The sequence below is a fragment of the Homo sapiens genome, chromosome 7 (assembly GCF_000001405.40).
Source record: "Homo sapiens chromosome 7, GRCh38.p14 Primary Assembly".
Classification (NCBI taxonomy): Eukaryota; Metazoa; Chordata; class Mammalia; order Primates; family Hominidae; genus Homo; species Homo sapiens.
Window position 1 is genome coordinate 129,963,645 of NC_000007.14, and position 24,718 is coordinate 129,988,362.

The 24,718-nt window shown below is 47.7% G+C and overlaps 1 long non-coding RNA gene across 1 annotated transcript in view, besides 3 other annotated features; it reads left to right on the top strand.

Annotated features, from left to right (window-relative positions):
* The window catches only part of UBE2H-DT (UBE2H divergent transcript), a 73,246-nt gene that overhangs the window by 10,578 nt on the left and 37,950 nt on the right, over positions 1 to 24,718 (top strand). The window contains exon 2 of the long non-coding RNA XR_007060520.1: positions 18,708 to 18,946. This is a non-coding gene — a long non-coding RNA (UBE2H divergent transcript). The remainder of the gene's footprint in view (positions 1 to 18,707; positions 18,947 to 24,718) is intronic.
* Positions 2,975 to 3,163: a silencer, noted in NCBI's record as "fragment chr7:129606459-129606647 (GRCh37/hg19 assembly coordinates)". NCBI's record gives its function as "represses an EF-1alpha promoter that drives an FKBP-Casp9 reporter gene in an ReSE screen in K562 erythroleukemia cells {active_cell/tissue: K562}" and the evidence as "EXISTENCE:reporter gene assay evidence [ECO:0000049][PMID:32094911]".
* Positions 4,726 to 5,368: an enhancer, noted in NCBI's record as "H3K27ac-H3K4me1 hESC enhancer chr7:129608210-129608852 (GRCh37/hg19 assembly coordinates)". NCBI's record gives its function as "activates a minimal SCP1, AML or CMV promoter by ChIP-STARR-seq in primed H9 embryonic stem cells {active_cell/tissue: H9 hESC(primed)}" and the evidence as "EXISTENCE:reporter gene assay evidence [ECO:0000049][PMID:30033119]".
* Positions 5,369 to 6,010: an enhancer, noted in NCBI's record as "H3K27ac-H3K4me1 hESC enhancer chr7:129608853-129609494 (GRCh37/hg19 assembly coordinates)". NCBI's record gives its function as "activates a minimal SCP1, AML or CMV promoter by ChIP-STARR-seq in primed H9 embryonic stem cells {active_cell/tissue: H9 hESC(primed)}" and the evidence as "EXISTENCE:reporter gene assay evidence [ECO:0000049][PMID:30033119]".

Here is a 24,718-nt window from a genome sequence, read left to right on the forward strand (position 1 = left end):
AGGAAACCTCACATCCTGAGTGCCTACTCTGAACCAGGCACTGTACCAAGGTGCATTACTTACAACCAACCAACCTGGCAGGACAGATGTTATTCTGCTTGTTGCACAGATGAAGAATCTTACGTTCAAAGAAGTCATGTAAGTTGCCCAAGGTCACACAGACGGTAAATGGAAGCATCAGGATTCAAATCCAAGTCCCCAACGTCAAAGCGCATGCCACTTGCAATCTGCTGTGCCACCTTGTTAATTCAGTCAGTTTAATTTGCAGGTGTTGGGAAACTTACTTTTTTTGTTTTTTTTTTTTTTTGAGACGGAGTCTCGCTCTGTCACCCAGGCTGGAGCGCAGTGGTGCGATCTGGCTCACTGCAAGCTCCGCCTCCCGGGTTCACACCATTCTTCTGCCTCAGCCTCCAGACTAGCTGGGACTACAGGCACCTGACACCACGCCCGGCTAATTTTTTGTATTTTTTAGTAGAGACGGGGTTTCACTGTGTTAGCCAGGATGGTCTCGATCTCCTGACCTTGTGATCCACCCGCCTCGGCCTCCCAAAGCGCTGGGATTACAGGCGTGAGCCACCGCGCCCAGCCGAAACTTACTATTTTTAAGGCCAAACCAAAATTTTACCTCCTTCATGACCAGAAATCTACTAGGCCACTCCATTTTTTTTTTTTTTTAACTTTTACTTTAGGTGCAGGGATGCATGTGCAGGTTTGTTATATAGGCAAACTGTATGTCACAGGGGGTGTAGTGTACAGATAATTTCATCGCGCAGGATCTAGGCCATTCTAACACATTAATGTTCCTCTGAAAAGAAATGGTCTGTGTCTCCAGAGTTCCCCCTCTCAGCAAATGGCACCATCATTCAACCAGCTGCCCAGACTAAGCCCTTAGAGTCTCCCTTGCCTGCTTTGTGTTTTTTTTTTTTTTTTTTTTTTAGATGGAGTCTTGCTCTGTCACCCAGGCTAGAGTGCAGTGGCGTGATCTCGGCTCAGTGCAACCTCTGCCCCTCCGGGCTCAAGCGATTCTCCTGCCTCAGCCTCCCAAGTAGCTGGGATTACAGGCGCCTGCCACTGTGCCCAGCTAATTTTTGTATTTTTAGTATAGACAGGGTTTCACCATGTTGGCCAGACTGGTCTTGAACTCCTGACCTCGTGATTCACCTGCCTTGGCTTCCCATATGCTGGGATTACAGGCGTGAGCCACCGCGCCCGGCCTACTGTTTTTTTCTTTATCATCCCCATTACCCAGTCCATCAGCAAATTCCACAAGACTCCCCCTTGAACATATTTGCCAAACCTGAGCCCTTCTCCCTGTGTCTCACACCTAAAGTGAGACACCATCCTCTGTGCGATCCAGTCTAACTGGCCTCTCTGCTCCTGCTTTTGCCCATAGTGACTTCCCCCTCACCCTACAGTCTATTCCCCACCCAGGAGCCACAGAGACATTTCTTTTTCTTTTTCTTTTTCTTTTTGAGACGGAGTTTCACTCTTGTCATCCAGGCTGGAGTGCAGTGGTGCAATCTCAGCTCACTGAAACCTCTGCCTCCCAGGTTCAAGCGATTCTCCTGCCTCAGCCTCCTGAGTAGCTGGGATTACAGGCGCCTGGCACCGCACCTATCTAATTTTTGTATTTTTGGTAGAGACAGGGTTTCACCATGTTGGCCAGGCTGCTCTCGAGCTCCTGACCTCAGGTAATCCGCCTGCCTTGGCCTCCCAAAGTGCTGGGATTATAGGTGTGAGCCACCACACCCAGCCTCTTTATCTATCTTATCTATTTATTTTTGAGACAGAGTTTCATTCTTGTTGCCCAGGCTGCCAGGCTGGAGTGCAATGGCGCGATCACGGCTCACCGCAACCTCTGCCTCCTGGGTTCAAGCGATTCTCCTGCCTCAGCCTCCGGAGTAGCTGGGATTACAGGCATGTGCCACCACACCCAGCTAATTTTGTATTTTTAGTAGAGACAGGGTTTCTCCATGTTGGTCAGGCTGGTCTCAAACTCCAGACCTCAGGTGATCCACCGGCCTCAGCCTCCCAAAGTGCTGAGATTACAGGCGTGAGCCACTGCGCCTGGCCTAAGATGTTTTAAGTTTGAATATATATTTATTTAAAACACAAGTGAATTTCAGTATTTATATGTATCTATGTGTATGTATATGTGTATACATGTATGTACACACATAGTAATAATATATATGGTTCTGCTATTAGCTATTTCTTTTTATTAAGGTATAGTTGACAAATAAAAATTGTGTTTTTTTTTTTTTGAGACGGGGTCTCACTCTGTCGGCCTCCTGCCTCGGCCTCCCAAAATGTTGCGATTACAGGTGTGAGCCACCATGCCAGGCCAAAATTGTGTATTGTGTCATATAATATTATAACATAATATTTGGATATGTGAATACATGATGAAATGGTTAAATCTAGCTACTTAACATACTCATCACCTCACATGCTTATCATTTTTTGTTATGAGACAGAGATGTTTAAACTCTGTCTCTACTAAAAATACAAAAATTAGCCAGGTGTGGTGGTGGGCACCTGTAATCCCAGCACTTTGGGAGGCCAAGGCAGGTGGATCACCTGAGGTCAGGAGTTCGAGACCAGCCTGGCCAACAAGGTGAAACCCCGTCTCTACTAAAAATACAAAAATTAGCCAGGTATGGTGGTGGCACCTGTAATCTCAGCTACTCAGGAGGCTAAGGCAGGAGAATCGCTAAACCTGGGAGGCAAACATTGCAGTGAGCTGAGATCGTGGCACTGCACTCCAGCATGGGCAACAGACTGAGACTCTGTCTCCAAAAAAAAAAAAAAAAAAGGTTAAGTATGGCCTGGCATAGTAGCTCATGCCTGTAGCCCCAGCACTTTGGGAGGCCAGGGTGAAAGCATGACTTGAGCCCAGGAGTTCAAGAGCAGCCTGGGAAACAAGGAGACCCCATTTCTACAAAAAGAATTTTTAAATTAGCTGAGCGTGGTAGCATGTGCCTGTGGTGCCAGCTACTCAGGAGGCTGAGGTGGGAGGATCGCTTGAGCATGGCAGGTTGAGGCTACCAGAAAGTTGAGGCTTCAGTGAGCTATGTTCATGCCACTATATTCTAGCCTGGGTGACAAAGTGAGACCCTGTCTCAAAAAAAAAAAAAAAGAAAAAGAAAAAGAAAAAGTTAAGTCTGGCAATACTTAACCAAATTCTTTTTCTTGTTTTGTTTTGTGTGATCTCAGCTCACTTCAACCTCTGCCTCCTGGGTTCAAGCAATTCTCCTGCCTCAGCCTCCCTAGTAGCTGGGGTTACAGGCGTGTGCCACCACACCTGGCTAATTTTTGTGTTTTTAGTAGAGACGAGGTTTCACCATGTTGGCCTGGCTAGTCTCGAACTCCTGGCCTCTGGTGATCTGCCCACCTCGGCATCCCAAAGTGCTGGGATTACAGGAGTGAGCCACCGCACCCCGCCCTCCAAAGTTTTCTTATTCCCGACAATGCAAGCCAGGACTCCTCTGCTAATTTTGCTGGTGGAGAAATGAGGTTGCATTAGGGAAAAGTGAGATGTATACATTTGCTTAGTTGACTAAAGGAAAAGAAAGCTAAAGTGGGAAAGCAGGACTCTGATTTCTTTCCCTTCCTTCAGTTTCTCTCTTTCTTACTTTCTCCTGCTGTTTCTAAAGCCTTTTTGGTTTCTCCAGGGTGCTCTGGTTGCTTGACCTGTAAATGTCTTTGGCCTTCCTCCAGAGGTCACACAGCAAAGGATCCATCGTGCCTTCAGCTGACAGCTCTGTATTGTCAAGCAGGGGAAGGGGTGAAGGATAATTTTACCAAACTGTAGGATGATTGGCTTGATTCCTATCACATTCTGTTTGGCTAAAAATGAAGCTGTTCTAGGCCAGGCACGGTGGCTCACGCCTATAATCCCAGCACTTTGTGAGGCCAAGGCAGGTGGATCACGAGGTCAGGAGTTCGAGACCAGCCTGGCCAACATGGTGAAACCCTGTCTCTACTAAAAATACAAAAATTAACTGGGCGTGGTGGCGTATGCCTGTAGTCCCAGCTACTTGGGAGGCTGAGGCAGGAGAATCACTTGAACTCGGGAGGCAGAGGTTGCAGCAAGCCAAGATCGCGCTATTGCACTCCAGCCTGGTGACAGAGTGAGACTCTGTCTCAAAAAAAAAAAAATGATGCTGTTCCAGGCCGGGCACGTTGGCTCACACCTGTAATCCCAGCACTTTGGGAGGCCAAGGCGGACGGATCACCTGACGTCAGGAGTTTGAGACCAGCCTGAGCAACTTGGAAAAACCCCGTCTCTACTAAAAATACAAAATTAGCAATTAGCTGGATGTGGTAGTACATGCCTGTAATCTCAACTACTCAGGACGCTAAGGCAGGAGAATCGCTTGAACCCATGAGGCGGAGGTTGCAGTGAGCTGAGATTGCACCATTGCACTCCAGCCTGGGCAGTAAGAGTGAAAATCTGTCTCAAAAAAATAAAGAAATAAATGAAGCTGTTCCAAACCTGGACAGTGGTTGGGCCAGTGATCTAGGCCGTCTACATAGTTTCAAGCCCAGCGCAAACTTGGAAGGCCTCTAGGCCTTGCAGACAGTTGCATCTTTTTCTATCTTTTTTTTTTTTTTTTTTTAAAGACAAAGTCATTCTCCTGCCTCAGCCTCCCGAGTAGCTGGGACTACAGGCGTCTGCCACCATGCCCAGCTAATTTTTGTGTTGTTAGTAGAGATGGGGTTTTACCATGTTGGCCAGGCTGGTCTCAAACTCCCGACCTCAAGTGATCCACCTGCCTCGGCCTCCCAAAGTGCTGGGATTACAGGTGTGAACCACCACACCCGGCCAAGATAGTTGCATCATTTTGTCATGAGGAGAGAACACAAGAAATCTTTCAATTCACATGCTTTTTTAAAACCGGTGCTTACAGAAGTTGCAGTCACAATACATCTGGCTGCTCAGAACATCAAATTTAGAATCTAAACAGTTTTTCCCTAAGTCAATGTTCTGGACCCAGTTTATAAACCTCCTTAGATTTGCTAAGCCCCACTCCTTCCCAGGCCTTGATCCTGCCTCAGTCTCTCAGTCTTGCAGTGCTTCCCGCGTAGTGAGGGCAGTGCCGGCTGCATCCTTCTGTGGCTCTCCAGGCACAGCTGTCACTGCCATGGCTTCTTTCCTCACACAGCCACTGCCTCAACCTCCCCTAGGAGTGAGGGCCAAGGTGCAGCAGCTCCAGCACCAAACTGGACTCCAGGACCTTCTGGCTCCCCAGTAGCTGCTGAGAGGGGCCCAGTAACACAACCTGCACATGAAGGGGAGTTAACACCGTGGGGTGGACTTTTATGGAAAAGAGAGAGGAGGCCGGAAGGAGCCCGCAGTGGCTCATTCTGCTGCTGCTTTGTCCCCATGTGATTCTTCTAACGCTTGGAGGCCCCCGAATGAATGAAAACACAACGACCTGTCATCCATAATGAGAACACGTTCCTTCCTCAGCTGCCTAGCTTCCCCTCTTCCTCACTCTTGCTGCCCTGGGCTTGCAGCCCACCCCAGTGAAACATTAACCCTTGGGCTTTGCCTCTAGCTCTGTTTTCTAGGAAGCCACGTTAGGACAGGCAAATTATGCATTTACTTGAGGGTAGGAGCTTTACAAACCCTCCTGCTTTTCTACCTTGCACTCTTAAGTAGAAACTTCTCTCCTCTCTGGGAGGGAATGGTACTAGAAAGATAACTCTAACCCTTCTCCCAACCTCCAGTACTCCATGGGGTGACCATCAGCCCTTGGCAGGAAAACAGGGGGTGACTGTCCTGCACGTAGCCAGTAGTGTTGTCTAAGACTGGAGTCGGGGGAGAGTAAGTTGAATTCTGTGAGGAAAAGATAGAAAGCCCATTTTGATGTAGATACCAACCAATTTTTTTTTTTTCCAGATGGAGTCTTGCTCTTGGAGTGCGGTGGCGCGATCTCGGCTCACTGCAACCTCTGCCTCCCGGGTTCAAGTCATTCTCCTGCCTAGACTCTCGAGTAGTTGGGATTACAGGGGCGCGCCACTACGCCCAGCTAATTTTTGTATTTTTAGTAGAGACGGGGTTTCTCCATGTTGGTCAGGCTGGTCTTGAACTCCTGACCTCAGGTGATCTGCCCGCCTTGGCCTCCCAAAGTGCTGGGGTTACAGATGTGAGCCACCGTGCTCCGCCATTACCTGTATCTTCTTGCCTCAGAAGGAACGTTTGTGCAGACACTGCCTTTCCTGAAGTCAGTGTTTGACTTTCTGGTCCCCTGAGGCTATTTTCCTTCTCTCCCCACCCCCATCCCTAAACAGATATTCCTTGTTTTCTTGCAGAAGGCCCCACCCAGGCCTCACCTTCCCCTCCTCCACTCCATGGTGGCTTTTAGTGCTTGTGTGATTCACACGTGTCCATGTGCCTTTGCTTGCGGCTCTGTTCACCTTCCTGATGCCTGAATTTCAAGCTCCTGAAAAGGAAACTTTCTGGTATTCACTGGCATTGAATAAAGACAGGAAATAAGTGTCTCAGCACAGAAGAATTTCAGTGTATGCTACATTATCTAAGCTACCTCCTTGCCTGGGATTTTCAAGCAGTGCACAAAGAAGGGGTAAACCTCCCACATTCTTTATCTGAGACCTTCTGAAACACACTCAGGGTCTCAGAACCACTGGCCTGGCCTCTTGGTTACTCACAAGGCTGGTCCCAGCCACCAGCGATGACCAGTTAGCTTCCCTGCTTCCATCCAGCCAAGACCTAGCCAGGACTTGTCTGTCATGCCTGGTATTTTCTCTTGTTAAACTCCTGACTTCTGGGTTACCCTCAATTCCTTTTTTTTTTTTTTTTTTGAGACGGAGTCTCACTCTGCTGCCCAGGCTGGAGTGGAGTGCAGTGCCGAGATCTCGGCTCACTGCAAGCTCCACCTCCCGGATTCACACCAATCTCCTGCCTCAGCCTCCCCAGTAGCTGGGACTACAGGCACCTGCCACCATGCCTAGCTAATTTTTGTATTTTTAGTAGAGATGGGGTTTCACTGTATTAGCCAGGATGGTCTTGATCTCCTGACCTCATGATCTACCCGCCTCGGCCTCTCAAAGTGCTGGGATTACAGGTGTGAGCCACCGTGCCCGGCCAGGGTTACCCTCAATTCTCAAATCTCTCTCCCCAACCCTGAAGGGGAGGAAAAGGGGTGCAGTAGCTTTTGGAAATGCTTGTCTTTAGGGTAGGGAAGGTGTGAGACAGTCCCTGGAGTCTGCTCTGCAGTGAGTTCCCAGTCTCAGTTTCCCTCCCACACTGGCAACTGGGCTCAGAGCTGCGGGCTTCCTCCAGAGGCCAGTGGAATGGAAGGCTTCCTGCCCGGATACTGTGGAGTGTGAAGTTCACCTGCATGTGGGCCACTCCCTCGGAGGGCAGCCAAGGCTGGGGAGGTGGCCTGGTTTGGGAGGAAACTCTCAGAGAGGTGCCAGGATGCTTCTCCACACTTATAAATCCAACTGCTCACCCCTACCTTACAAGCTATTAGTTCCTCAAAAGGAAACAGAATAAGATTGGCAGGAAAACTGAGGGAACATTTAGAATTCAAATAGAATAACCACAGTGGCTTGTAGACCTGAAATTATTTTTCACTTTTAATATCCTTCCTGATTTAATTTTTTTTTAAACGAAGTGTCACTCTGTCGCCCAGGCTGGAGTGCAGTGGCGCTATTTCAGCTCACTGCAACCTCCGCCTCCTGAGTTCAAGCGATTCTCCTACCTCAGCCTCCCGAGCAGCTGAGATTACAGGTGCCCGCCAGCACACCCAGTTAATTTTTGTATTTTTGGTAGAGACAGGGTTTCACCATGTTGGTCAGGCTGGTCCTGAACTGCTGATCTCAGGTGATCCGCCCAAAGTGCTGGGATTACAGGCATGAGCCACCGCGCCCAGCCTCCTTTCTGATTTGAAAAGTAATATGTTCCAGCCGGGCATGGTGGCTCATGCCTGTAATCCCAGCACTTTGGGAGGCCGAGGCAGGCAGATCACCTGAGGTCAGGAGTTCGAGACCAGCCCGACCAACATGGAGAAACCCTATCTCTACTAAAAATACAAAAAATTAGCCGGGCATGGTGGGGCATGCCTGTAATCCCAGCTACTCGGGAAGCTGAGGCAGGAGAATCACTTGAACCCAGGAGGTGGAGGTTGTGGTGAGCCGAGATCATGCCATTGCACTCCAGCCTGGGCAACAGGAGCGAAACTCTGTCTTAAAAAAAAGAAAAAAGAAAAGTAATATGTTCCTGGCTGGGCATGGTGGCTCACGTCTGTAATCCCAGCACTTTGGGAGGCCAAGGTGGGCAGATCACTTGAGGTCAGGAGTTCAAGACCAGCCTGGCCAACATGGTGAAACCCCGTCTCTACTAAAATACAAAAATTAGCTGGGCGTGGTGGTACACTCCTGTAATCCCAGCTACTTGGGAGGCTGAGGCAGGAGAGTTGCTTGAACCTGGGAGGCGGAGGTTGCAGTGACCCAAGATCATGCCACTGCACTCCAGCCTAGGCAACAGAGCAAGACTCCATCTCAAAAAAAAAAAAAAAAAAGAATATGTTCTTAGTGGGGAAAACCTGGAACATGTAAAGAAAATAATGGTCTTGAGGCCAGGCGCGGTGGCTCATGCCTGTAATCCCAGCACTTTGGGAGGCCGAGGCGGGTGGATCACGAGGTCAGGAGATCAAGACCATCCTGGCTAACACGGTGAAACCCCGTCTACTAAAAATACAAAAAATTATCCAGGCGTGGTGGCAGGCGCCTGTAGTCCCAGCTACTCGGGAGGCTGAGGCAGGAGAATGGCGTGAACCCGGGAGGCGGAGATTGCAGTGAGCCGAGATCACGCCACTGCACTCCAGCCTGGATGACAGAGCGAGACTCCTTCTCAAAAAAAAAAAAAAAAAGAAAGAAAATAACGGTCTTGGAGCTTAGTCAGTTAAGAAAAAAAAAGGAAAAAGAAAATAACAGCTATCTGTAATCCCACCTCCCAATTAGCTGGATGTGGTGGCGCAAGTCTGTGGTCCCAGCTACTAGGAGGCTGAGGCAGGATGATGACTTGAGTCTAGGACATTGAGGCTGCAGTGACCTATGATTGTACCTCATGACACTCCAGCCTAGAAGAGCAAGATCCTGTTTCTTAAAAATGAAAGAAAAAAAGGCTGGGCATGGTGGCTCACACCTGTAATCCCAGCACTTTGGGAGGCCGAGGTGGCAGATCACAAGGTCAGGAGTTCGAGACCAGCCTGGCCAACATGATAAAACCCTGCCTCCACTAAAAATACAAAAATTAGCCAGGTGTGTTGGCACATGCCTGTAATCCCAGGTACCCGGGAGGCTGAGGCACGAGGATCATTTGAATCTGGGTGGTGGAGGTTGCAGTGAGCCAAGATTGCACCACTGCACTCCAGTCTGGGCAACAGAGCGAGACTCCGTCTCAAAAAAAAAAAAAAAGAAAAAGAAAAGAAAAAAAATCATAATCCCACCTCCCAGAGAAAACTTCCCTAATATTTGGCATATGTTTATTTTTATGTTCACATATTTTTGTGTAGTTGAATTATGTTGTATATATACATTTGTATCACCGTTTTTCACTTACTATATCATGAGCACCTGCCCCTACCCCTATCATTGTTTTAGCTGTTGCAAACTAGTCCATCATATGGAGGTACCATGATGTATTTAACTGTTGGTCAATTGATGGAAATTTGTTGCATCTCTCTCTTTTTTTTTTTTTTTTTTGAGATGGAGTCTTACTCTGTCACCCAGGCTGGAGTGCAGTGGTGTGATCTCAGCTCATTGCAACCTCCATCTCCCAGGTTCAAGCAATCCTCCTGCCTCAGTCCCCCTAGCAGCTGGGGCTACAGGTGCACGCCACCATGCCTGGCTAATTTTTGTATTTTTAGTAGAGATGGGGTTTCACCATGTTGGTCAGGCTGGTCTCGAACTCCTGACCTCAGGTGATCTGCTCGCCTCGGCCTCCCAAGTGCTGGGATTACAGGCGTGAGCCACCGCGCCCTGCCTCTGAAGACATTTTTACGTAAATAATTGACCCACACACACCTAAAAAAAATTAGCTTAATTTTGTTCATTAGCAACAGATTGTCTTTCTGGGCTGTTAAGAGAGGAAAGGAAAAATCCCCTGAGATGTCCATAATGTTGTGTTAGGGAGGAATCTATCTTTGGCTGCAGCTGGAGCACAATCAGAGTGTGGCCAGGGCAAAGTGCTGGCCAGAGCCAGGAGACTAGAATATTTGTGGAATGTTAGTCTGGGCATGGTGGCTCATGCCTATAATCCCAGCACTTTGGTAGACCAAGGTGAGAGGATGGCTTGAGCCCAGGAGTTCAAGACCAGCATGGGCAACATAGCAAAACTCCGTCTCCATAAAAATCGAAAAATTAGCGGGGTGTGGTGGTGCACACCTGTTGTCTCAGATACTTGGGAGGCTGAGGTCAGAGGATGGCTTGAGCTTAGGAGTTTGAGGCTGCAGTGAGCTATGGTCACACCACTGCACCCCAGCCTGGGTGACAGAGTGAGACTGAGACCCTGTCTCTCTCTTTTTTTTTTTTTTGAGACAGAGTCTCGCTCTGTTGCCAGGCCGGAGTGCAGTGGCACGATCTCAGCTCACTGCCACCACGCCCGGCCGACACCCTGTCTCTTGGAAGAAAAAAAAAAGGAATGTTAAAGTTCAGTTGTCTTTGTGTAGTCGGTTGATTAATGTCTCTGATGGTACTGGGAGCTCTACAAGTGTGAAAACCAGACCTCTCTTACGATGTATTCCTAAGGCCCAGCAGAGTCACTGGAGTGTACAGTCAAGTGCTCAGTAAAGATGTAATCAGTGCTTAGATAGGGTGCCTCACCTCCTTTTCTATTGTTTTCTTTTTGCTTTTGAGACAGAGTCACACTCTGTCCCCCAGGCTGGAGTGCAGTGGTGCAATCTCGGCTCACTACAATCTCCACCTCCCAGGTTCAAGCGATTCTCCTGCCTCAGCCTCCAGAGTAGCTGGGACTACAAGCACATGCCACCATGCCTGGCTAATTTTTGTATTTTTAGTAGAGACAGGGTTTTACTATGTTGGCCAGGCTGGTCTCGAAATCCTGACCTTGTGATCTGCCTGCCTCAGCCTCCCAAAGTGCTAGGATTACAGGCGTGAGCCACCTCACCTGGTCTGGAATTTTTTTTTTGTTTTTTTTTTTTGTTTGTTTTTTTTTTGAGATGGAGTCTCATTCTGTCTCCCAGGCTGGAGTGCAGTGGCGCGATCTCGGCTCACTGCAAGCTCCGCCTTCTGGGTTCATGCCATTCTCCTGCCTCAGCCTCCTGAGTAGCTGGGACTACAGGCACCTGCCACCATGCCCGGCTAATTTTTTGTATTTTTAGTAGAGACAGGGTTTCACAATGTTAGCCAGGATAGTCTCGATCTCCCGACCTTGTGATCCACCCGCCTCAGCCTCCCAAAGTGCTGGGATTACAGGCATGAGCCACCACGCCGGGCAGGAATATTTTTTATTATAGTCCAGGGGTTTGCTTCCCACTGCATTCCAGCTACTTACAAGATCAGTAATTAAATAGAGAAAAAAAAATCTATAAATTTGTGTGGTACACCTTGTTTTCTAGAAATGAGTGTTGGTTGTTAGATCTTTCTCTTAAACCCTTCAGGGTTTTGATTGGTGTCTCTTGAGCTCACACACAAATCACAGAATTAAATTTTCTCACTGAGGGATAGCAATTTGTTTGTTACTGAGATAACTGAGCGTGTTTCCAAGCTACTTCTCTTTCTGGGTAAAGAGAAGGAGATCTTGAGTCACAAGGGCTAAGTGTGCTAAGGAGACCTCTTTGGCCCTGTGCACTGGAATGGAATAAACCCAGTTGCAGTATGCTCAGTTGTGCTAACAATGTTTATTTTCAGCACAGGTGGAAACATTTCATCTCATGGCACCTCTGTCTCAAGACCAGTGTTGATTCAGCTGCTTATTATTTAGTCAGTTTTAACACCTTGAAGCCAGGGTTTTGATGGAGCAAGACACAAAACAAAGCAAAACAAAAACCACCCCTCTACCCCAACACACACAAACAAGTAAATGAACAAACAGAAAATCTACCCTGCCCAACACTGTGGCTCACTCCTGTAATCCTAGCACTGTGTGAGGCCGAGGTGGGTGGATCATCTGAGGTCAGGAGTTCGAGACCAACCTGGCCAACATGGTGAAACCCCTGTCTCCACTAAAAATACAAAAATTAGCTGAGCATTGTGGCGGGCACCTGTAATCCAAGCTACTGAGGAGGTTGAGGCAGGAGAATTGCTTGAACCCAAGAGGCAGATGTTGCAGTGAGCTGAGATCGCACCACTGCACTCCAGCCTGGGCGACAAAGTGAGACTCCATCTCAAAACAAACAAACAAACAAACAAACCTACCCAATCATATGAATGCTCTTCCAGGGCTCTTCTTGGGTGTAAAATTTCTCAGGTTGGGCACAGTTGCTCATGCTCTAATTCCAGCAGTTTGGGAGGCCGAAGCAGAAGGATTGCTTGAGCCCAGGGGTTTGAGACCAACCTGGGCAACATGGTGAAACCCTATCTTTAAAAAAAATACAAAACTCAGCTGGACATGGTGGTGCTACTCAGGAGGCTGAGGTGGGAGGATTGCTTGAGCCTGTGAGGTTGAGGCTGCAGTGAGCTGTGATCATGCTACTGTGCTCCAGCCTGTGTGACGGAGTAAGAACCTGTTTAAAAAAAAAAAAAAAATCTTGGTGTGGTGGCTCACATCTGTAATCCCAGCACTTTGGGAGGCCAAGGTGGGTGGATCACGAGGTCAGGAGATTAAGACCATCCTGGCTAACATGGGGAAACCCTGTCTCTACTAAAAATGCAAAAAAAATTAGCCGGGCGTGGTGGCGGGCGCCTGTAGTCCCAGCTACTTGGGAGGCTGAGGCAGGAGAATGGCGTGAACCCCGGAGGCAGAGCTTGCAGTGAGCCGAGATTGAGCCACTGCACTCCAGCCTGGGTGACAGAGCAAGACTCCATCCAAAAAAAAAAAAAAAAAAAAAAAACAACTCAGATAAGTTTGCATCTGCTAAATAATTGACACTTTGGCTATTAACTTTCTGGAATCAAGAACATCATGTCTATTGACTAATCATGGAACTGATCTTCACAAGTAGCAGAGATTTGGACACAAACGATAGAAAATTCCAGTACAAACATTTCACCTGATGCAAACTTGCCCCATGTCTAGGAGGATGAGCTGCTATCATGCTCTGACAATCAGCAGCTCTCTGTTGGTAATAGAATGACAGAGATATTGGCAGTTAAGCCTCTAAAGTGGCCAGTAAATACGATATTGTACTGAGGGTTCTAAATTAGACAGGCAATTCATTCATTCATCCAATATTTATTAAGCACCCACCTTGAGAATACAAAGATTGGTAATATGGAGTATCTGTCCTTAAATTATTTCTTTTTTTTTTTTTTTAGAAGGAGTCTCACTCTGTCGTCCAGGCTGGAGTGCAGTGGTGTGGTCTCGGCTCACTGCAACCTCTGCCTCCCGGGTTCAAGCAATTCGCCTCCCTCAGCCTCCCTAGTAGCTGGGATTATAAGCGCCCACCACCACGCCCAGCTAATTTTTGTCTTTCAGTAGAGACAGGGTTTCACCATGTTAGCCAGGCTGGTCTTGAACTCCTGACCTCAGGTGATCCGCCTGCCTCAGCCTCCCAAAGTGCTGGGATTACAGGCGTGAGCCACTGCATCTAGCCCCTTAAATTATTTCTAAGGCTGACAGGAAGACTGAAACATGCATAGTTACAGCACAGGTGAAACCTCTCTTTCATTTCTTTTTTGTTTGTTAGGCTGAGATGTAAATGCATACATGATATATGTAGCAGAATAATCTACTGAGAATCAGCTCGTGTTTGTTTTTACCTCTGTGGATGCCTTAGGAGGAATGAAAGGTATTTTTCCCCTCCCAGTGTGGTACACAGGCCTTTATTCTGATTTCTGGGAAACCTTTTCCTCTAGAAGGTGATCACAGGAGGTGAGGAGTCATTTGTGTAATCTATCAGCAAGATTAGATTTTATCGTCTCGGACAGCTGTAGGATGTTCAGGGGTTGGAAATGAGAAAGCAGCCAGACCCTAGGAGAGGCTCAAGGACGGGGAAGAAGAACTAGGTTGGTAGAGGCCTTGGGGCCTGGGGGAGGGGTGGAGATGCTGAAGTGGCAGCCTCCGTGGAAGAAATCCTTAAGCTACGAGCAGGGAGCTGGACTAGGAGGCTGCAGGATCCTCTGGAACGTCCATGGCCAGAGAGATGGTGGGGACCAGCATTTGAAGCAGCAGCTCTGTCTGGCAGAGCAGCCACAGGAAAGCCAACCAGGGCCTCTAAGTGCTGAAAGACTGGGAGTCCATGGGATCCTGTCTAGGTGCCCAGGGTTAGTGATGATCCAAGGGAGTGGAACCCATCCTTGGAATAGTTAATATTGGGCCTCCCTCCAATCCAGGTGAGTAGGTTTGAGGTGGTTCTAATTAAAGCTAAGAACATTATTGTTATTATTATTATTATTATTTTGAGACGGAGTCTCGTTCTGTCACCCAGGCTGGAGTGCAGTGGCGCAATCTTGGCTCACTGCAATCTCCACCCCCCTGGGTTCAAGCAATTCTCCTGTCTCACCCTCCTCCTAACTGGGATTACAGGCGCATGCCACCATGCTTGGCTAATTTTTGTATTTTTAGTAGAGACGGGGTTTCACCATGTTGGCCAGGCTGGTCTCGAACTCTTGACCTTGTGATCCACTCATCTTGGCCTCCCAAAGTGCTGGGATTACAGGCGTGAGCCACCACGCCTGGCCCCAAGAACATTTTATTTTATTTTATTCTTTGTTTTTATTTCTTTCTTTATTTATTTCTTCTTTTTTTTTGAGTCAGAGTCTCTGTCATCCAGACTGGAGTGCAGTGGCACAATGTTGGCTCACTGTAATCTCTGCCTCCCAGGTTCAAGCGATTCTCCTGCCTCAGCCCCTCAAGTAGCTGGGATTACAGGTGCAGGGATTACAGTACAGGGACTACAGGTGCACACCACCTCACCAGGCCAATTTTGTATTTTTAGTAGAGACAGGGTTTCACCATGTTGGTCAGGCTGGTCTCAAACTCCTGACCTTGTGATCTGCCAGCCTCGACCTCCCAAAGTGCTGGGATTCCAATTTTGTGTGGGAAACTGACTCCCCTGCCCTCCCACACCCACCCCCACCCCCACATAGATCCGTGCTAAAGACAATGATGATTATCTTTTTATCTTGCTAGAGATCTGTTTAAGAATGGAAATGTGCATTTTTTTTTTTTTTTTTACCTCTGAAACATGAAGAGGAGGTGGCTGCAGGCCTTCTGGGAAAGATTTCTCTACTATTTCTTTTTTTTTTTTTTTTGAGATGGAGTTTCACTCTTGTCGTCCAGGCTGGAGTGCAATGGCACGATCTTGGCTCACTGCAACTTCCACCTCCCGGGTTCAAGCGATTCTTCCACCTCACCCTCCCCAGTAGCTGGGATTACAGGCATTGCCATCATGCCCGGCTAATTTTTGTATATTTTGTAGAGATGGGGTTTCACCATGTTGGCCAGGCTGGTCTCGAACTCCTGACCTCAGGTGATCCACCCGCCTCGGCCTCCCAAAGTGCTGGGATTACAGACATGAGCCACCATGCCCGGCCTTTTTTTTTTTTTTTGAGACGGAGTCTTGCTCTGTTGCTCAGGCTGGAGTGCAGCTGCGCCATCTTGGCTCACTGCAAGCTCCGCCTCCCAGGTTCACGCCATACTCCTGCCTCAGCCTCCCGAGTAACTGGGACTACAGGCGCCCACCACCATGCCCGGCTAATTTTTTGTATTTTTAGTAGAGACGGGGTTTCACCGTGTTAGCCAGGATGGTCTCAATCTCCTGACCTCGTGATCCGCCTGCCTCAGCCTCCCAAAGTGGTAGGATTACAGGCATGAGCCACCATGTCCGGCCTTTCCCATGCATTTCTAATAAGTATTTCAAACTTAACTGTGGTCAAATTAAAACTGTAGACACCCCCTCAAATATGCTCCTCTCTCATCTTCCTTCTCTCCTCTCTCCATGAGCTCAGACCAAACCCCTGACAGTCATTCTTTGTTGAATGAAGGGTAAGTAAGGCACTGATCATACAAGTCCTCTGACACCCACCCTGCAAAATCCCAATCCTAAAACCAAAGTCTGCACACTTCTCTCTGATTCATTCTCTCTCTCTCTCTCTCTCTCTCTCTCTCTCTCTCTCGCTTCAGTCAAACACTAGCTAAGCTGGTACTGCTTTGGATCATTATCAAGCTGAGAAAATAGGCAAGGATGGCTGGGTAAGGCTGAGGCGGGCGGATCACTTGAGGTCAGGAGGTCGAGACCAGCCTGGCCAACATAGTGAAACCGCATCTCTACTAAAAACACAAAAATTAGCTGGGTGTGGTGGCGGTGCCTGTAGTCCTGCTACTCAGGAGGCTGAGGCAGGAGAATCGCTTGAATCCGGGAGGCAGAGGTTGCAGTGAGCCGAGATTGCACCACCGCACTCCATCCTGGGCGACAGAACGAGACTCCGTATCAAAAAAAAGAAAGAAAAGAAAATAGGCAAGGAGACACTCTCTGGTCCTAGTCAGGCAGCTAAGTCACATAGGGCCATGGAATCCTACACAGATACGAACAGTAGAAGCCCCATCTCCCAGTGCTGGCGCCCTAGATGATGATCACAGTATCTCACCTTTGTACAGGATTTTACACACTTTGCAAAGGGTTTTTTGTTTGTTTGTTTGTTTTTGTTTTGTTTTTTGAGACAGAGTTTCGCTCTTGTCACCCAGGCTGGCAAGCAGTGGTGCGATCTCGGCTCACCACAACCTCCGCTTCCCAGGTTCAAGTGATTCTCCTGCCTCAGCCTCCCGAGTAGCTGGGATTACAGGCATGAGCCACCCTGCCTGGCCTACAAGGGACTTTTACAAAGGTTTCCATATTTAATTTTCACAGGAATCCTGTGAAAAAGGCAGAACAGGTGTTATCAATCCTAATGTTTTAGATGAGAGAGAAAGTGAATTGCCCATCACATGCTGTGAGTGACACAGGCAATTAGGGACTGAGCCTACATCTTTTCACTTCAGGCTGCTCCCATCAAGCCACCCCTAACTCAGCAAAGGTGAACAAGGCCGTGATCCAGGCCTCCATTCACTTGATGCCAAGATTCCCATTAAGATAACTATGTACTCAGCTCTTGAAATGTATTTTTTAATTTAATTAAAGGTCAATATATGGTTTTAGAAACATATACAGAGATGACATAAAACTCTGAAATGGAATGCGACAGGGTCAAAAATGTTAAAGTGGAAATATTTGCAACTTTGTTCTCCTCCCATGCTCAATCTAAGAGCTTGAGTCTCAGAATCAGTTGTGTGAGATGGAGCTGTCGCTGGGCGTGGTGGCTTATGCCTATAATCCCAGCACTTTGGGAGGCCGAGGTAGGGTGATCACTTGAGGTCAGGACTTTGAGACCAGCCTGGCCAACGTGGTAAAACCCTGTCTCTACTGAAAATACAAAAATTAGCTGGGAGTGGTGGGCGTGTATCTGTAATCCCAGCTACTCCGGAGGCTAAGGCAGAAGAATCACTTGAACCTGGGAGGCAAAGGTTGCAGTGAGCCAAGATCGTGTCACTGCACTCCAGCCCGGGGGACAGAGCAAGATTCTGTCTTGAAAAAAAGAAAAAAGAAAAAAAGAAAGATGGAACTGTAAGGATGGAAGGAGCTTTATTTCTTTATTTTATTTTAAGTTTTGAGACAGGGTCTCCCTCTATTGCCCAGGCTGAAGTACAGTGGTGTGATCATGGCTCACTGCAGCCAGCTTTAAGCAATCTTTCCACCTCAGCCTCCCGAGCAGCTGGGACTACAGGTGCACGTCATGACACCTGGCTAATTTTTTTTTTTTTTGAGACGCAGTTTCACTCTTGTCACCCAGGCTGAAGTACAATGGCGTGATCTCGGCTCACTGCAACCTCTGCCTCCCAGGTTCAAGCAATTCTCCTGCCTCAGCCTCCCGAGTAGTTGGGATCACAGGCGTGTACCACCACACCTGCCTAATTTTTGTATTTTTAGTAGAGATGGGGTTTCACCATGTTGGCCAGGCTGGTCTCAAACTCCTGAGCCCAGGTGATCCACCCACCTCGGCCTCCCAAAGTGCTGGGATTACAGGCATGAGCCACCATACCTGGACCTCACCTGGCTAATTTTTAAATTTTTTTGTAGAGACAAGGTCCTGCTATGTTGCCCAGGCTGGTCTTGAACTCCTGGCCCCAAGTGATCCTCCCACCTTGGCCTCCCAAAGTGTTGGGATTACAGGTGTGAGCCAGCATGACTGGCCCAGAAGGAGCTCAGAGAAGGCATGAGGAGAGGGGAGGAGAGGGAGGTCAGGAGGATACCTCTTCCACAGGGAGGCACAAAGGTGGGAGCAGCGGGTGCCCTAGGACTAAACAGCTGGCCTGGCATGTGGGTGGAGCAATGCTCCTTTCCGTCTCCCAGCTTGTCTGGAGAACCTGATTTAAAAGCTGCTAGAGCCTCCTTTCAGGTCCAGGTATGTGTGTGTGAGAGAGAGAATTCCACGGGGGCGGAGGAGGTGGGAGAATAAAGTCAGTCACGGTGGAACTTCTGCCCAAGCAGAGACATCTTCATGGTGGATTTCAGAGAGGCAAGAGGGAGGCACCTGCAAGCTTCAAGAGCAGCTGGAGGAAGAGTAAATTAGAGTCCCAGCCACCCCCACATCTATCTTCTACACCTGCTCCTTCATTTTCCTTTCTCTGGAGGGCTGAGAGAGATTTACTGGTCAAAAGGAAGAGCTCCTCACTTCGGGTTCAGGAATCTTACTGAAGGAAATGAAATGGTCACAGAAAGAAGAGTCACTCGGGTAATTTGGGATGTTATGAGTAAGTACCATAAGTTGATTGAGCAGAAAAGACTCAAAGACGGGGGTAGATTTTTTTTTTTTTTTTTTGAAACGGAGTCTTGCTCTTATTGCCCAGGCTGGAGTGCAATGGCACGATCTCGGCTCACTGTAACCTCCATCTCCCGGGTTCAAGCTATTCTCCTGCCTCAGCCTCCGGAGTAGCTGGGATTATAGGCATGCACCACCACGTCTGGCTAATTTTTGTATTTTTAGTAGAGATGGATTTTCACCATGTTGGTCAGGCTGGTCTCAAACTCCTGACCTTGTAATCCACCCACCTCAGCCTCCCAAAGTGCTGGGATTACAGGCGTGAGCCACTATGCCCAGCCATTCATTTTTATTTTTATTATTTTTTGATTTAGAGTATTGCTCATTGCCTAGGCTGGAGTGCAGTGGCACAATCATAGCTCACTACAGCTTCAAACTCCTGGGCTCAAGTGATCCTCTTGCCTCAGCCTCCGAGTAGGTAGAACTACAGGTCAGTTACCACACCTGCTAATTTTTTTTTTTTTTTTTTTTTTTTTTGAGACGGAGTTGCTGTTCACTGCAACCTCTGCCTCCCTGGTTTAAGTGATTCTCCTACCTCAGCCTCCCAAGTAGCTGGGATCACAGGCATGTGCCACCACGCCCGGCTAATTTTTGTATTTTTGGTAGGGACAGGGTTTCACCATGTTGGTCAGGCTGGTCTCGAACTCCCGACCTCAGGTGATCCACTTGCCTCGGCCTCCCAATATGCTGGGATTACAGGCATGAGCCACCGTGCCCGGCCATGTTGGGGTAGATTTTGAAAAAAAAAATAAATAAGGGATACTGGATCATAATTCCACCTGGGCAGAGACCACAGTTCTAGGTCCAGATATCAGTCTAAAGTGGGATACAACCCCGGAAGGCATCAAGGCAGCCAGTCCTGGTTACACTGAGAGGATAATTGGGTTACAGCATCTTGGCTGGGCACGGTGGCTCACGCCTGTAATCCCAGCACTTTGGGAGGCTAAGGCAGGCGGATCACTTGAGCCCAGGGGTTCGAGACCAGTGTGGCCAACATGGCGAAACCCTGTCTCTAAAAAGATACAAAAATTAGCTTGGTGTAGTGGCATGCGCCTATAGTCCCAGCTACTTGGGAGGCTGAGTGGGAGGATTACTTGAGCCTAGGAGGTAGAGGTTGCTGTCAGCTGAGACGGTGCCACTGCACTCCAGCCTGGGTGACAGAATTAGACCCTGTCTAAAAAAAAAAAAAAAAAAAAAAAGTTATAGCATCTTTACTGAACATGTTTGAGAGACTAAAGTAGGGCAGAGGATGAAGGGAAAGACTTCTCTCCTGAGCTCTAGGTCCACATTTCCAACTGTCTGTTAGAAATCTCCAAACCCCATCTCTAGAAAGATCATAAGCTTGGTAGTAGGGTAAAGGTTAGATCAGAGGGGAGCTTGGAGGAAAAAGTGTCAGTTAGCTGCTATCACAGCTGAGATTCAGGCAAGAGGTAAATACAATCTGAATCAGGCTGGCAGGAGAGAGTCTTGCAAGACATTCTCCAGGTGGAATCCGTGGTACTTGATAACTGATTGGGGTGAGGCAGAGGGAAGAGGCTTTCCAACCTGGGTGAGTGGGAGGGTGGGATGCTGTGAACACGAACAGGGGACACAGTGGAGAAGGAGCAGCCTTGAGAGGAAAATGTGGGATGAGGTGTTGAGCATATTGTGTTTGGAGATTTTTCTTTTTCTTTTATTCTTTTTTTTTTTTTTGAGACGGAGTTTTGCTCTTGTATCCTAGGCTGGAGTGCAGTGGTGCAATCTCGGCTCACTGCAACCTCTGCCTCCTGGATTTAAGCGATTCTCCCACCTCAGCCTGCCGAATAGCTGGGACTACAGGCGTGCACCAACATGCCCAGCTAATTTTTTGTATTTTTAGTAGAGGTGGGGTTTCGCCATGTTGGCCAGGCTGATTTCGAACTCCTGACCTCAGGTGATCCATCCACCTCGGCCTCCCAAAGTGCTCGGATTACAGGTGTGAGTCACCATGTCTGGCCAGTATTGTTTTGGGTGGAATTTGGATCATTGCCAATTTTTTGCTCCTAGGAACAATGTGATCATGACTGTTCCTATATACATGGTCTGGTGCGAGTGTATATTAGTTTCTCTGGATGTATACCTAGGACTGGAATTGCTGGATTCCAGGATATGAACATGTTCAAGTTGACTAGGTAAAGTTATTTTTTAGAAGTGATTGTACCCATGTACCAGTGAAATTTACCTTTTTTGCTCTATTTTTTACTACTTTCATAATGAAAATATAAATGCATATTTTAATAGACAAATGAGATTATATCAAACCAAAAAACTTCTGTATAGCAAAGGAAATAACAGAGTAAAGAGACAACCTGCAGAATGAGAGAAAATATTTGCAAACTACTTATCCAACAAGGGATTAATATCCAGAATAGGGCTAGGCAGGGTGATTCACACCTGTAATCTCAGCACGTTAGGAGACCAAGGCAGGAGGATCACTTGAGATCAGGAGTTTGAGACCAGCCTGGGCAATGTGGCAAGATCCTGTCGTCTCTATTTTTGTTTGTTTGTTTGTTTTGAGATGGAGTTTTGCTCTTGTCACTCAGGCTGGATTGCAGTGGCATGATCTCAGCTCACTGCAACCTCCACTTCCTGGGTTCAAGCGATTTTCCTGCCTCAGCCTCCTGAGTAGCTGGGATTACAGGCATGCGCCACCACACCTGGCTAATTTTGTATTTTCAGTAGAGACAGCATTTCACCATGTTGGTCAGACTGGTCTCGAACTCCTGACCTCAGGTGATCCGCCTGCCTCGGCCTCCCAAAGTGTTCAGATTACAAGCATGAGCCACTGCACCCAGCCTTCCTGTCTCTGTTTTTAAAAAAGAAAAGAAAATGGAAAATTAGCTAAATAGACATCTCTCAAAAGAAGACACACAAATGGCCAACAGGTATATGAAAAAATCGTGATCACTAATATTCTGGGAAATGCGAATCAAAACCACAATGAGATATCTTTTTTTTTTTTTTTTTTTTTGAGATGGAGTCTCGCTGTGTCACCCAGGCTGCAGTGCAGTGGCACGATCTCGGCTAACTGCAACCTCCACCTCCTGGGTTCAAGAAATTCTCCTGCCTCAGCCTCCTGAGTAGCTGGGATTACAGGCTCCTGCCACCACACCCGGCTAATTTTTGTATTTTTAGTAAAGATGGTTTTTCGCCATGTTGGCCAGGCTGGTCTCAAACTCCTCACCTCAGGTGATCCACCTGCTTCAGCTTCCCAAAGTGTTGGGATTACAGGCATGAGCCACCACGTCCGGCTGAGATACCATTTTGTCCTAGTTAGAATGGTTATCAAAAAGCAAAAAAATAACAAATGCTGGTGAGGATGCAGAGAAAGGGGAGCTCTTATATATTATTGGTAGGAATGTAAATCAGTACAGCCATACTGGAAAACAGTATGGAGATTTCCCAAAATAGAACTACCATATGATCTAGCAATCCCACTACCAGTTATATATCCAAACTAAAGGAAATAAGCATGTCAAAAGGATTCTGCATCCCCATGTTTACTGCGGTACTATTCACAATAGCCAAGATATAAAATCAACCTTAGTGTCCATCAGTGGATAAAGAAAATAAGGCGTATATATATACATGATGGAATGCTATTTAGCAATTAAAAAGAAAACAATTCTGCCATTTGTGGCAACATGAATGAGCTTGGAGGACATGATGTTAAGTGAAATAAGTCAGGCACAAAAAGATAAATATTGCATGTTCTTATGTGGGAACTGAAAAAGTCGATTCTCTCTAGAAGTAGAGAGTAGAATAGTTGGGGAGGAGAGTTAGCCAAAGGTTTGTTAACAGATACAAAAGCACAGCTAGGTAGGAGGAATAGGTTCTAGTGTTCTATAGCACTGATGGGTGACTGTATTTAACACCAATTTTTTTTTATTTTTTGAGATGGAGTTTTGCTCTTGTCGCCCAGACTGGAGTGCATGTTGGCCAGGCTGGTCTCGAACTCCTGACTTCCGGTGATCTACCCGCCTCGGCCACCCAAAGTGCTGAGATTACAGGTGTGAGCCACTGCGCCTGGCCTAACACCAATTTATTGTATGTTTTCTTTCTTTCTTTTTTTTTTTTCTGAGTCAGGGTCTCGCTCTGTTGCCCAGGCTGCAGTGTAGTAATGCCATCATGACTCACTGCAGTCTTAATCTCCTGGGCTCAAGTGATCTTCCCGCTTTGGCCTACCAATGTTCTGGTATTACAGGTGAGAGCCATCGTGCCTGACCTATTGTATATTTTCTTTTTCTTTTTTTTTTGTTTTTGAGATGAAGTCTTGCTCTCTCACCCAGGATGGAATGCAGTGGCACCATCTCGGCTCACTGCAAGCGCCGCCCTCTGGGTTCATGCCATTCTCCTGCCTCAGCCTCCCGAGTAGCTGGGACTACAGGTGCCCGCCACCACGCCCAGCTAATTTTTTTTTTTGTATTTTTAGTAGAGATGGGGTTTCACCGTGTTAGCCAGAGGGTCTGTTTGGACCCTCAGTCTCCTGATTGAGATTGAGATGGCCTCAATCTCCTGATCTTGTGATCCGCCCGCCTCGGCCTCCCAAAGTGCTGGGATTGTAGGCGTGAGCCACTGTGCCCGGCTGTACCTATTATATTTTCAAACAACTAGAAGAGTAGATTTTGAACATACTCAACACAAAGAAATGATAAATGTTTGAGGTGATGTTGTTGTATCAAACCCCCATTGACTCCCATGGGAAAGGCACCAGGTTCAAGAGGCCAAAGAAGAGACCCAGAGCCAGCAAAGGAGACATAGGGTTTTACTGGGGGCTACATATGGGGAAGAGAGTTCAGGGTCAAAGGGCTGGACAGAAGAACCACTCGCAAAAAGCATGCAGTTTATGGCCAGGCGCAGTGGCTCACGCCTGTAATCCCAGCACTTTGGGAAGCCAAGATGGGTGGATCACTTCAGGTCAGGAGTTTCAGACCAGCCTGACCAACATAGTGAAACTCTCTCTCTACTAAAAATACAAAATTAGCTGGGCACGGTGGGGCACGCCTGTAGTCCCAGCTACTCGGGAGGCTGAGGCAGGAGAATCACTTGAACCCAGGAGGTGGAGGTTGCAGTGAGCCGAGATTGTGCCACTGTCCTCCAGCATGGGCAACAAGAGCAAAACTCTGTCTGAAAAAAAAAAATAAATAAAAAGCATGCAGTTTATATAGTATTTTCACCTAGCGCCCTCCCCATGACAACCTGTGGAACACAGGCTGTACAGGGGGATTGAGGGCCTGAGTTTGGGGTTGAATGAGGATTGCCAGGTGGAGGCTGTCATGGGCTTCCATTTGGAGTTTTCCCATCGTTCTGGGAAGAGAATGCCTGCCTGGTTGGTCCAGGGCTTCCTGCTCTTGTTGACATCCTTAGGGCAGCAGCCAGACTGGTGTGCACCCCTGGTAATGGCTCAAGCATGTGGAAGGAACCAACAATCTTCATTAAGTCCCATTTTTCCGGTTGGGACTGAGGCAGAGAGCAGGGAGAGGCGAGGAAGGATGGGGAAGGGAAGGTCTTGTCAGGGGAGGGATAGAGCAGTTCCCCTCCTTTCCTTCCTCCCTCCCTTTCTCTCTCTCTCTCTCTCTCTCTCTCTATATATATATATACACACACACACACACACACACACACACACATATAACTCGTTCGTTTTTTGAGACATAATCTCACTCTGTCACCCAGGCTGGAGTGC